At 36.2% G+C, this 13,200-nt stretch overlaps 1 annotated feature.

Annotated features, from left to right (window-relative positions):
- Positions 2,319 to 2,519: a silencer, noted in NCBI's record as "peak5387 fragment used in MPRA reporter construct". NCBI's record gives its function as "represses an SCP1 promoter by STARR-seq MPRAs in K562 erythroleukemia cells {active_cell/tissue: K562}" and the evidence as "EXISTENCE:reporter gene assay evidence [ECO:0000049][PMID:32103011]".

Genomic DNA, 13,200 nt, shown 5'->3' on the forward strand with positions numbered 1-13,200 from the left:
TTAGTTTTAACTAAGTCAAGTTAGCAAGAGCCTTCCACACTCAATATCTGATTATCCTCAACATTTGATCAGGTTCCCAGGCCTCCATCATCCTGAAGGTGATGTATGATCACCCTGGCTTCTCCTTGGAAATAATTCTGTAGGTGGGTTAGACAGATTCTCTCTTACTCCTAATGTTTCCTTTTAGTACTTTTCCATCCAATGACCTCCATCCTGTTGCTTGGCACTAAATTCCCACTTGCTCACGCTATATTCAGGGTTGAGCTCAATTTCTCTCCCTGACTGCAAGCCCCATTGCAGTGATCCTTAAACCTATAAAAATAGTCTTGAATAAATCTTCCTTAATAAGTTTTAACAAGTGCCATTGAAGTTTTTCTTTAACATCTTTACGAATCAGTTTACTGTAATGTTAATTGCAAAAGTAAAATACTAAAACATCCTGAAAGTTCATAAATAGAGGAATGGTTGAATAAATAATAATTTCTAAACTATGTTAAATAAAGAAAAGTGAGATTTGTGTGTGCTGACTTGAAAAGTTATCCATGAGGAAGCAGTGAAAAAAAAGTAGGAGAGTAATATGCATCATGCAACTCAATTTTAAAATATATAAAACTCAACTCATGCAACTCAATTTAAAAATATATAAAAGAAAGAAAATAAACTGAATTGTTTGCATGTTTATACAAATATTAAAGAATGAAGAGCAAAATCATATTCTTTATAGCACTGTTCAATTTTTATGTTTGGCTAAAAATATTTTTCTTCATTCACATCTGCATTGTTTAGAATTGTTGCAAATAGCACATATTATAACATAATTTTTGAATATACAAAATTAACTTATAAATTAAAAATAACATAATGGTAATTCAAGAAAAGCACCTGGATCATTTTGCAATATCTGACTAGTGTATTTGTTAAATTACAAGTAGAAAGAGGACAATACTATTTGGAGCAACTGTAGACTAAAAACAATTTAATTACAGGTTAAACATCCCTAATTTGAAAATCTGTAATCCAAAATGCTTAAAAATCTAAAACATTTTGAGCATCACATCATGGCACAAGTGGAAAATTCTACACCTGACATCACATAAACAACTTTGTTTCATGCACAAAATTACTTAAAAATTGTATAAAATTACCTTCAGGTGTATATAAGCTGTATATAAAATATTAATGAATTCATATTTATACCTTGGTCCTCTCCCCAAGATATTATATTATGTATATATGCAAATATATCTAAATCCAAAATTAAAAAATCCAAAAATTCTGAAACCTGAAATAGTTCTGGTCCCTGGTCCCAAGTATTTCAGGTGAGAGATACTCAACCTGTACCAAAAAAAAAAAAAAAAAAAAATCCAAAACATGTAATTATTAGTTTTGTATTTACACTGAGAAATTATATGTATGCTTTACACATTAGCATATGTATATTTAAATCAAGAAGAACAACTATTATTTAGACCCAGAAATACAGAATAAGAAGTGATATTCATAAATAGTTATTAATTTCTCATTATCACTGTGACCAAGAAAATGATAATAAAATAAACAATACTAATACTTTCTTCTCTCCTTTCTTTACTGATAAACTTCAATATCAACACAGAATATGACATTGCTACAATCAGAAATATCTAGAGGTTCTCATATTAACCAAGGAAATATTCTTTGCCTTATAGAATACAAGCAGCTTCTGAATTTCCTAAAATCTCCTACATCATTTTAATGAAAAAATTTAATACTACTAGAATATGTACTGTTACTTTAAATAATTTTGTCAGAATAGGAATTCAAAGCAGGGCTCCAAAATAACTGGAAGTAAATTGTCACTATTATGGAGACATTTTACAAGAATAGAGCAAAGGTCACATGGGGCTTGATCAGCTCCTTACTTTGTTCTGCAATAGCAGTATCTAGACAACTAAGGATGTTGGATAACCTGCCTAACAAAATTAAGGATGTGTGACACAAACTTAGCAAGGACATGTGTTTGAAGAAAATTTACTTTTAGTAAACTAACATTCTAAAAAAAATTTTTTTAGCAAAAAACAAACCAACAAATAAACCAACAAAAAACCATCCTGAGGATCTCTACCACATAGCAATAGGATGTTTCTTTAGTTGTTTTCAGCTAGTGATAGACCTATTTAAATATCAAGAATGTAATGAAGGCACATTGAAGGGGTATGGAGGAGGTCTTTCATATCTAAAAACTTTTTTTCTGTAGCTTATAATAGGAATTCTAGTTTGTTGTTGTTGTTGTTGTTTTGGTTTGTTTGTGTGTTTATTTTCTGAGACAAGGTTTCACTGTATTGCCCAGGCTGGTCTTGAACTCCTGGGGTCAAGGGATCTTCCCACCTCAGCCTACGGGTGTGAGTCACTGGATAGTCAAAGGCAGAAAATGACACAAAGCTATAAGAAAGTTTAAGCACAAGGTTACAAGCTTCACACTCACCCATTTTCCTTTCATATGGCATTCTGGAATAAACTAGATGTTAGGACTAAACTAGATGTTAGGACATTTGTTCAGCAACTATTTCTGAGTTATCATTTAACCCATTCGTGTTTCTGCTCACTCCATGAACACTAACCAGACTGCTTATCTTTTGATAAGGTCAGTGTTTACTCTTAGAATGTCTTTCAGTAACCTAGAGTGAAGACATGATTTGGCTCAGTATCTGATTCATATTTTAGTTGCATCATTGCTCATCTTTATGTCTTGATATTTATGTTTTTCATCAATTTGCTAGTTTAAACTATGATATTGCTCCCAATCTCATTTATTCAATATGTATTTGTTGTTGCTGAGAATGATGCCTTCATCCCATAAAGCGAATATTGATAAAAATAATAGAAAATTAAATTATTAGGTTAAACTAAACTCTGGCTTAATGACCTATAAAATTGTCAAAATTTATTTGCTCACTGTACAGTTTTTCAGGTACTGTTTAAGAATACTCACTTTATTCTACTTCTGAGTTTAGGAAGTTTAGAAATAAAGAAGCAGGCTACCAGGAAGCTTTCATTCTGCAGTCAGGGATAACAGATAAATCAAATAGTCAAACAAACAACCCAGGCAAATAATAACATAAGAATAATAGTCCTAAAGTAGAAATTCGACTGGTAACAAAGATAGAAAGGAGGATGACATAGGTGAAATATAATAATCAAGAGAGAAAGTGGTACAAAATTATATGTGAAAGGCAAGTGCCAGACCATGACAAACATTCATTATAGGGTACATAAAATGAGTTGGTGTTTTTACAAATCCAATGGGAAACCATCGAAAATTTAAGAAGAAAATTTCAATGTATGTGTTATATTTTTAAGTTGCTAGATAAAGAATTGTGTTCATGGAAAGGGGTGAGAGGTGGAAGCATAGACTTGGGTTATTGAAGCAGCAGAGAGAAGAAACGAGAGATGGTAGGACAAAACTGGTAATAACAAAAAATACAAAGAAATGGACACCTTTGAGATATATTTGGGATACACAAATAGAGGAATAAAATTTTTTCCAGACTTAACCAAAATTTGAAATGTGTTGTCTTCAAAAGACACCACTGAGAGCCAGCAGGGTGGTGCATGACTGTCGTCCCAGCTATTTGGGAGGCAGAGGCTGTAGGATCACTTGAGCCAGAAATTCCAGTGTGGTTTGCTGTGATTATGCCTGTGAAAAGCCACTGCACTTTAGGTTGGGCAACGTAGTGAGACCTCAAATCTTAAAAAAAGAAAGCACCAAAATACTACTGAAATAATGAAAAGAAAACCACTTGAAAATTATATATTTGATAAGGAACTTGTGTTGAAATACTTAACAGTCAAAACTTAATAAGAAAAGACCGGCGGGCATGGTGGCTCATGCTTGTAATCCCAGAACTTTGGGAGGCTGAGGCAGGCGGATCACTTGAGGTCAGGGATTCCAGACCAGCCTGGCCAACATGGTGAAACCCCATCTTTACTAAAAATACAAATTTAGCCCGGTGTGGTGGCACACCTCTGTAACCCCAGTTACTTGGGAGGCTGAGACATGAGAATCACTGGAACCCAGTAGGCAGGAATTGCAGTGAGACAAGATTGTGCCATTGCACTCCAGTCTGGGTGACAGAGTGAGACTCTGTCTCAAAAAAAACAAGGCCGGGCACGGTGGTTCATGCCTATTATTTCAGCACTTTGGGAGGATGAGGATTGAATCCAGGAGTTCAAAACCAGCTTGGGCAACATGGAGAAAGCTCATTTCTATAAATAATATGAAAAAGTATCTAGACACGGTGTCATGCACTTGCAGTTCCAGCTACTTAGAAGGCTAAGACAGGAGGATCACCCAAGTCATGCTCACCCCACTGCATTCAGGCCTGAGAAACAGAGGGAGATCCTGTCTCCAAAGAAAAAAAAAATTTTTGTTTATTCAAGTGAATAAATAAAAGTAAATATAATTTAAATTAATCCATGTATTAAAGAGTTTAGTTACTTAAATATAGAAAATGCATGAATCATAAATATGCACATAAAAAGATGCCAAATATCATTAGTTATTAGAAAAGTATAAAATCATGATGATGAGACAGCCACGTGGGAGGGGGGGTCCCCAGAGACTCACCAATCAGCCTGGGCCCTGGGAGGAATGTACACTGGGGCGGAGCCTTGGGAAGTTCTCCAGTTTACAGCAGGGAGGAGCCTGGCCCCTCCTCTTCCCGTCAGGAACCTGGGATTCCAGTGGCAGGTGGGAAGTGCTCTAGCAGGGGACTCTGGCCTTGTGGACCATCCCTGTTCCCCCCCTGCTTTTTTTACCTTTTCACCCAATGAAACCCTGCTTCATTACCCTTTAAACTGTCTGCGAGCCTAAATTTTTTGGCCGTGGAATGGACAAGAACACTGTGTTTAGCAGAACTAAGGACATGTCCTGCAACAATGAGATACCACTACATATTTATAAAATTGATTAACATTAAAAAGCCTGACAATATCAAGTGCTAGCAAGGACACAGAGGAACAGAACCTTGTGTACTTAATATACAATAAACTGTGCATATATAAATTGCACCATTTCACAAGCGTTGACATATAAATATAGTTGCAAAACCATCACTGGAATCAGATAACAAACATATCTGTCACTCTCACAAGTCTCCATCTGCCCCTTCATAGTGACCTTCTACCTTCCCCAAGTCTTCTCCCCCAACCTTCACTCCCTGTCTCTAGTCAGCTATTGATCTGCTTCCTGTCATTATAAATTACTTTCCATTTTCTAGATTTTTAAGTAATTGGAATCATGCAGTAAGCACTCTTTTATGTCAGGCATTTTTTATTATTTTGACTAGCTGTATTGTTGCATATATCAAGAGTTCACTGTTTTATAAGTAATATTATATTATGTGAACATAGCACAATTTGCTGATAAATATTTGGGTTGTTTCCATTTTATGACTATTACCAAAAAAACAGCTTTGAACATTTGTATGCATGTCTTTGTATGGACATAAAGTTTTATCCATTCATTTTCTGGAATAATACCTAAGAGTGAAGTAGTTGGATCATATGGAAGCTGTATATTTAAGCCTTTAAGAAACTACAAAACTGGTTTCCAAAGTGTTCTGATGTTTTACATTCCCACCAGCAGGCCCGTCAGAGGTTCTTCCATATGATGCAACTATTACACTCTTAGGTATTACTCCAGAAAATGAATGGATAAAACTTTATGTTCATACAAAGACATGCATACAAATGTTCATAGCTGTTTTTTTGGTAATAGTCCTAAAATGGAAGCAAACCAAATATTCATCAAAAAATTGTGCCATATTCACATAATTTAATATTACTTATAAAAAATGAACCATTGATATATGTAACAATAGAGCTAAGTTTCAAAATAATAAAAGAAGCCTTGACATAAAACAGTGCTTACTGCGTGATTCGATTTACATAAAATTCTGGAAAAAGCAAAGTAATTTATAATGACAGGAAACAGATCAATAGTTGACTAGAGACAGAAAGCAAAGGTTGAGGGAGAGGAGTGGGGAGGGTTGGAGAAGGTCATTATGAAAGGGCAGATGGAGACTGTGGGAGTGATATATGTGTTTATCTGATTCCAGTGATGGTTTTTCAAGTATATTCACGTGTCAACACTTGCTAAATGGTTCACTTTATATATGCACAGTTTATTGTATATTAAGTATAATCTTAAGGAGAAAAAAAAGAATGATGCTTGTTTTGCCTTTACCAAATGGGAAGATAAGGTTGGTAGTTTCTGAGCTGTGGTAAAAATGCATGTGGCAATGCCAGTCATGTGTTACTCTACTGAGCATAGAAATAAGACATTGTGGTATGATCTACATAAGTAAGACCGTAACTTTCTCCTGGAAACCAAACTCTGGAAACTGTTTTCCTTTGCTTTTGATTTAACTGATGGATTTTTGGTATCTTGACCTTTGGTATCTGTTATCTCCTGGATGATTACCTGGAATTATACGATTTAAAAATCCTTTTAGGGGCAGGACACAACACAATGACATTTGGATAGATGAAAAGCAAAGCTCCAAATAGATCTCCAGACTTATAAATCAAGGTATCATTCAGTAAACCTTAAATATATACAAAAATACAATAACTTCCCAGCTTCAAATTACAAAACTCTACCAGGTGAGGCCACAGAGAAAATTGCAACCAGGGGCCAAGATAACAGCAAGATGGAGAGGTACCAGGCAGCTTTTGTATGACAAGTGGAAAGTTTGGCTAGCTTTGGTGCATTTCTTGCAGGTTGGCTAATTTGAATATCCGGGACCAAGTTCTCTGATACTTGGCCCTCAGGAAAATTAGGGCAGGTTACAGATAGGTCTAAGGGTGTGAAAGTCTGATGAAGAAGTGGTTGGGGTGTGGACTTAATCAGCTGCTGAAAAATGAGAACAGACCAGTTTCTAACCATGCCTCGAAACTGGGTCAAGACAGCATTAAAATAAATAAACAAACAACTATATCACACCCCTGGTCCTATAGTGTGCCCTGTGACTTATCTATTCCAAATGCTCATTATTCCTACTTCTTAATCTTGAGATTCCATTCCTCAGATTCAGTTCCCTAATATTCATCTCTTCTCAAAGTTTACATTCATTGTACATCTTTTGCTTCTACAACCCAGAAATGAACATATGGAGGCCAGAAAAAAGTGGTTCATAAATCATATGTAAATAAAACATACAGTAATTATAGTTTTAAACTTAGAAATTTTACCTTATAAATATATCACTTCGAAATACTAAAGTGGAATATAACTTAAGGCATACTACTTTCCCTTTTAGTGTGGCACCATATAATAACTCTAGTTTATAATGCAGTATCTGTATAAATCAGTCTATGAGCATAGCAACATATGCACAAAACATTGCATTTTAGTGCAGCTCTGATGTATATGCACAGTACCTCCCTCCACTGTTAATGAGACCCCAGACAACTGCACCTAGAAGCAGCAGCATACCTGGTTTTTCCTTTCCTCAATCAGATTTAAACCTCAGAAGTCTGTATTTCTGTGTTCACCTAAACTTGAAAACATTCTCTCCAGATCCTAATGTGGCTAGCTGACTCTTCCATTGGTAAATTGTCTCATTATTATTAGAACTTCAGGATCCATAATAGATCTGATATGGTTTGGCTGTGTCCCCACCCAAATCTCATCTTGAATTCCCATGTGCTATGGGAGAGACTTAGCGGAAGGTAATTGAATCATGGGGGCAGGTCTTTCCTGTGCTACTCTCTTGATAGTGAATAAGTCTCATGAGATCTGATGGTTTAAAACAAGGAAGTATCCCTGAACAAGCTCTCTTCTCTTGTCAGCTGCCATGTGAGACAGGCCTTCCACATTCTGCCATGATTGTGAGGCCTCCCCAGCCATGTGGAACTGTAAGTCCATTAAACCTTTTGCTTTTGTACATAGCCCGGTTTCGGGGATGTCTTTATCAGCAGCATGAAAATGGACTAATTAGTACTGGTAGAGTGGGGCACTGCACCTGAAAATTTGGAAGCAATTTTGGAACTGGGTAATAGGCAGAGGTTGGAACAGTTTGGAGGGCTCAGAAGAAGACAGAAAAACGTGGGAAAGTGTGGAACTTCCTAGAGACTTTTTGAATGGCTTTGACCAAAATGTTTATAATGATATGGACAATGAAATCAAGGCTGAGGTGGTCTCAGATGGAGAGGAGGAACTACTTGGGAACTGGAGTAAAGGTGACACTTGTTATGTTTTAACAAAGAGACTGGAGGCATTTTGTCCCTGCCCTAAAGATGTGTGGAATTTTGAACATGAGAGAGATGATGTAGGGTATTGGGAAGAAGAAATTTCTAAGCAGCAAAGCACACAAGATATGACTTGGGTGCTGTTAAGGCATTCAGTTTTATAAAGGAAACAGAGCATAAAAGTTTGGAAAATTTACAGCCTGACAATGCCATGGAAAGGAAAACCCCATTTTCTGAGGAGAAATTCAAGCTGGCTGCAGAAATTTGCATTAAAAATGAGAAGCCAAATGTTAATCACCTAGTCAATGGGAAAAATGTCACGAGGGCATGTTAGAGACCTTTGTGGCAGCCCTTCCCATCACATCTCCAGAGGTTTTGGAGGAAAAAATTATTTTGTGGGCCGGGCCCAGGGTCCCTCTGCTGTGTGCAGTGTAGGGACTTGGTGCCTTGCAACTCAGCTGCTCCAGCCATGACTAAAAGGAGCCAAGGTACAGCTCAGGCTGTTGCTTCAGAAGATGGAAGCCCCAAGCCCTGGCAACTTCCACGTGGTGTTGAGCCTGCAGGTACACAGAAGTCAAGAATTGAGTTTTGGGAACCTCTGCCTTGATCTCAGAGGATGTGTAGAAATACCCGGATGCCTAGGCAGAAGTTTGCTGCATGGGTGGGGCTCTCATGGAGAACCTCTGCTAGGGCAGTGCAGAAAGGAAACATGGGATCAGAGCCCTCACATAGAGTCCCTACTGGGGCTCTGCCTAGTGGAGCTGTGAGAAGAGGGCCACCATCCTCTAGACACCAGAATGGTGGATCCACTGACAGCTTGCACCATGTTCCTGGAAAAGCCACAGACACTCAACACCAGCCTGTGAAAGTAGTCAGGAGGGAGGCTATAACCTGCAATGCCACGAGGGCAGAGCTGCCCCAGGCCATGGAAATCCACCTCTTGCATCAGTGTAACCTGGATGTGAAATATAGAGTCAAAGGAGATCATTTTAGAGCTTTAAGATTTGACTGCCCTGCTGGATTTCAGACTTGCATGGGGCTTGTAGACCCTTTGTTTTGGCCGATTTCTCCCATTTGGAATGGCTGTATTTACCTGTAAATGGGGGCCTGTACCCCCATTGCATCTAGGGTACAGATAACTTGCTTTTGATTTTATAGGCTCATGGCCAGAAGGGACTTGCCTTGTCTCAGATGGACTGAGACTGAGATTTTGGACTGTGGACTTTTGAGTTAATGCTGAAATGAGTGAAGCCTTTGGGGGACTGTTGGGAAGGCAAGGTTGGTTTTGAAATGTGAGGACATAAGATTTGGGAGGGGCCAGGGACAGAATGATATGGTTGGCTGTGTCCTCACCTAAATCTCATCTTGAATTCCCATGTGTTGTGGGAGGTAATTGAATCATGGGGGCAGATCTTTCCTGTTCTGTTCTTGTGATAGTGAATAAGACTTCTGAGATCTGATGGTTTTATAAATGGGAGTTTCCCTGCACAAGCTCTCTCCTCTTGTCAGCCACCATGTGAGACATGACTTTCACCTTCTGCTATGATTGTGAGGCCTCCTCAGCCACGTGGGACTGTAAGTCCATTAAAACTCTTTCTTTCGTAAATTGCCCAGGCTTGGGTATGTCTTTATCAGCAGTGTGAGAATGGACTAATACAAGGTCTTTCTACAATAGGTACCAAGCATCAAGTCTCTGTTATATGCCAGATGTTGCCCAAGGTGATTTTTCTACATATCTGCAATACTGATATCAACGAGTAAATCAGGGGTTATTGTTCCCCTCTTGAAGATAAAAACACTGAGATGCAGATGACCTGTCTTAGATCACAAGATCTGCCTTGGGGCAGAATTTTAAAGCAGGGCTTTAATTTTTCCACTAAGCCAAAATGATTAATTTTGTCATCTTTTTTTCACCGAAAGACACATGCTCCACCATCTTAAATTTCAACCAATAGTTCTATAGTCCCATCTATTTATTAGTTGAGTACAGTTGTAGAAATAATTTTCTTATCTTTTGCAAATAAAATTAATATCACAATAATAAACTATATAGTTTCTTGGAGACTTGGTTAACTTTGAAAGGGTTTTGGCAAAATACAAAATTAAAATAATTTTATTAAAAAATCCTCCAAATTTGGGGTATATTAGCACCTTGATTTTTAATGTGTACTATAACTTAATTGGATTATGTCAGTAAAAATAAAAATTGGGGGTAAAAAGTTCATTGGAACTTAATCTATTGCAACATATTTATTAGCAAAACTACTAAGCACTGGTTGATCATTGGACACTAAGCACTAGTATGCAGTGCTACTCAGTGAAATTCAGGAAAGGTGTATGAGCAGCTTGAGTTATGTTAAGTCATTCTAAGAAGGTTTACATTCATACAAAAAATAGCAAATCTATCCCAACCTCCCAACCCTTTCTCCACTAAACCTCCACACTTTCTACACCCACAATGCAATTGATTGATTTAGTATAATTACGCTCCTAGAGAACCAATTCATTTGAAAACCAGAATCCATGAGAAATACTAAAAAATAATCAGACTTGACTCACCCCCAGTTCATTTGCTTTGTGATGAAAGAACTCCTTAAAGGTAAACAATGAATATTAGTTAGCTTTGTTCAAGTAGGGCATTTGATACCCAGAGAAAAATAAGCAGGAGAGTGAATAAAGCAGTAGTCACATTTCTGAAGAATGAAGTCTGTAGATTGCAAGTGACAGGTTCAATTACTGGTCCATGGGCCACTGACACATCTGCCTTGAAGTCTGAGGAATGGGCAGTGGAAAAAGGATGAATAACTCTCAAGATTTAGAGAAAATATGTAACAACTCAGGCAGAAAATTAGCAATTACATTTCGTGCCATCAGTAATAACTATTTCAACAAAGATCTTAGGTTAACGTCAGACTGTGTGACAGTATATCAACTATTACACCTGTGTTCAATCAGCCACCACATCCCTCAATGCGATACTGAGCTGTTTAGTTCAAATGTGGCTTGTTCAGTGATAAGCAAGATGGCTGACATCTGGTACAGAAGTATTCAAAGGCAATTTACTTCAGAGTTTTGATGCTGACTGTTGTAAAAAGAAAAATTTTATAAAATTTGGACAGTTGCAATTTGTTCAGGTTTTCTTTTGATTTTTTTCAGTAACAAAATTATAACTTTATTAAAGATAAAGTAGAAAATTATATAAGTAGATCAGCAAAAATTTTTCAGAGAAGAATTTTTCAGATTTAAGGTTAAATAAAATGTCAACTGTAATAAAACTATAAATTCATGATATTATTTTTGTGTTTCAGAGTAAAGGCATAAAGCAATAAATGATAAATTACAAATAGAAACAGAAGAGTGTGACTCTATAATGTATTATCTTCTCTATATTTTTAATTTAAATCTGATTTGATGTTTTAGATCTAGCCAATAAGGTTTTTATTTTAAATATATACTTAAAAAATAACGTGAGAATTATAATTGATTTCTTACCAACAAATAAATACAATTAATTTAGCCTAGGAGCCCTATCATCTTATACATTTATAATCAGACATGTACAATGAATAAAAATAACACAATGTTCACTAACATGTCAACAAATGGCTAATTATGAGATTATAATATAACAGTATCTATAAAAATAATTCTAAGTGGAGTTAACAAATGGCTGTCTTTAGTCTGAAAAATGTATTTGAAAATAGCCTTTTCAGATATAACAAGAGAGAGATAAGATCTTACTCTTCATCATTAAGGTATGTGAGCCAGATACTGTATATTGCCATCCTGGAAGTCACACTAGTTATAATTTTTAAAAAATTATTTGCGAGAGAAAAACAAGCAAATCAAATTTCCTCAAGTTAAATCAGTAGATGATTTTTATCATGCTCTGACATTAAATTCATATTAGTGATGCCTCACCTATGATAGATTTTTTAACAATAGATTAAGCTATTCTCATATGATACGTACTCATTTTTAAATAATTTGTATAACTGGTATTAGTCCAATGATATATGCATAATGTCTGTATGTATAGTTATGTATGGATGGATTTTATATATATTTATATGTAATATATACAATACATAATGTTTTACATATTATGTATTACATATACTTAATAACCAAAATATAATTGTTGGTTTACCTTTCAACATTTTATAGGAAGACAACAGATTATTGTGAACGAGCTGATTCTTCTAAAAGGCCCTTCAAGATTACCCTTCAAGCTGGATAATCACCTGTTTGCTCATGTATGACTCTGTCTTGAATAACAGGACAAATACATATATACACACACACACACAAACACACAAATAATGATGAACGTGACAGTGATAGCTAAAATAGATTAATTGCTATGCAAAACACATTATCTTATTCAATTTGTGTAAGGAAGTCTAAATGCAGATTTAGAAGTTATGTTGCCTTGCAAAATAGACATTTTCCCAAAGAGTTGTTTGAACCAAACAATGGTAAATCACAGACATTTTACATTATCTAAAGAATAATTTTACACAATGTAAAAAACACTTTTCAAAAGTGAAGGCTATTTTTATTTCCTTCTGAGTTAGTCTGACAAATTCAAAATACATGTATTTACATTTATGTTTATATTCTTAAAGCAGGTACAACTAAACTTACTGCATAAATACAGATCACTTCTGTATTATTTAGGGTTCTCTAGGGGGACAGAAGTAATAGGATAGACATACATATAAAGAGGTGTTTGTTAATGAGTACTGACTCACGTGATCACAAGTTGAGGTTCCACAATAGGCCATCTGTAAACTGAGGAGCAAGGAAGCCAGTCCCAGTTCCAAAACCTCGAAAATAAGGAAGCCGACAGTGCAACCTTCAGTCTGAGGCCAAAGGTCCAAGAGTTCCAAAGCTGAAGGACTTGGAGTTTGATGTTGCAGGGCAGGTAGCATCCGGCACAGGGGAAAGATGGAGGCCAGAAGACTC

Source organism: Homo sapiens, chromosome 5, assembly GCF_000001405.40.
Source record: "Homo sapiens chromosome 5, GRCh38.p14 Primary Assembly".
In the NCBI taxonomy this organism is placed as follows: domain Eukaryota; kingdom Metazoa; phylum Chordata; class Mammalia; order Primates; family Hominidae; genus Homo; species Homo sapiens.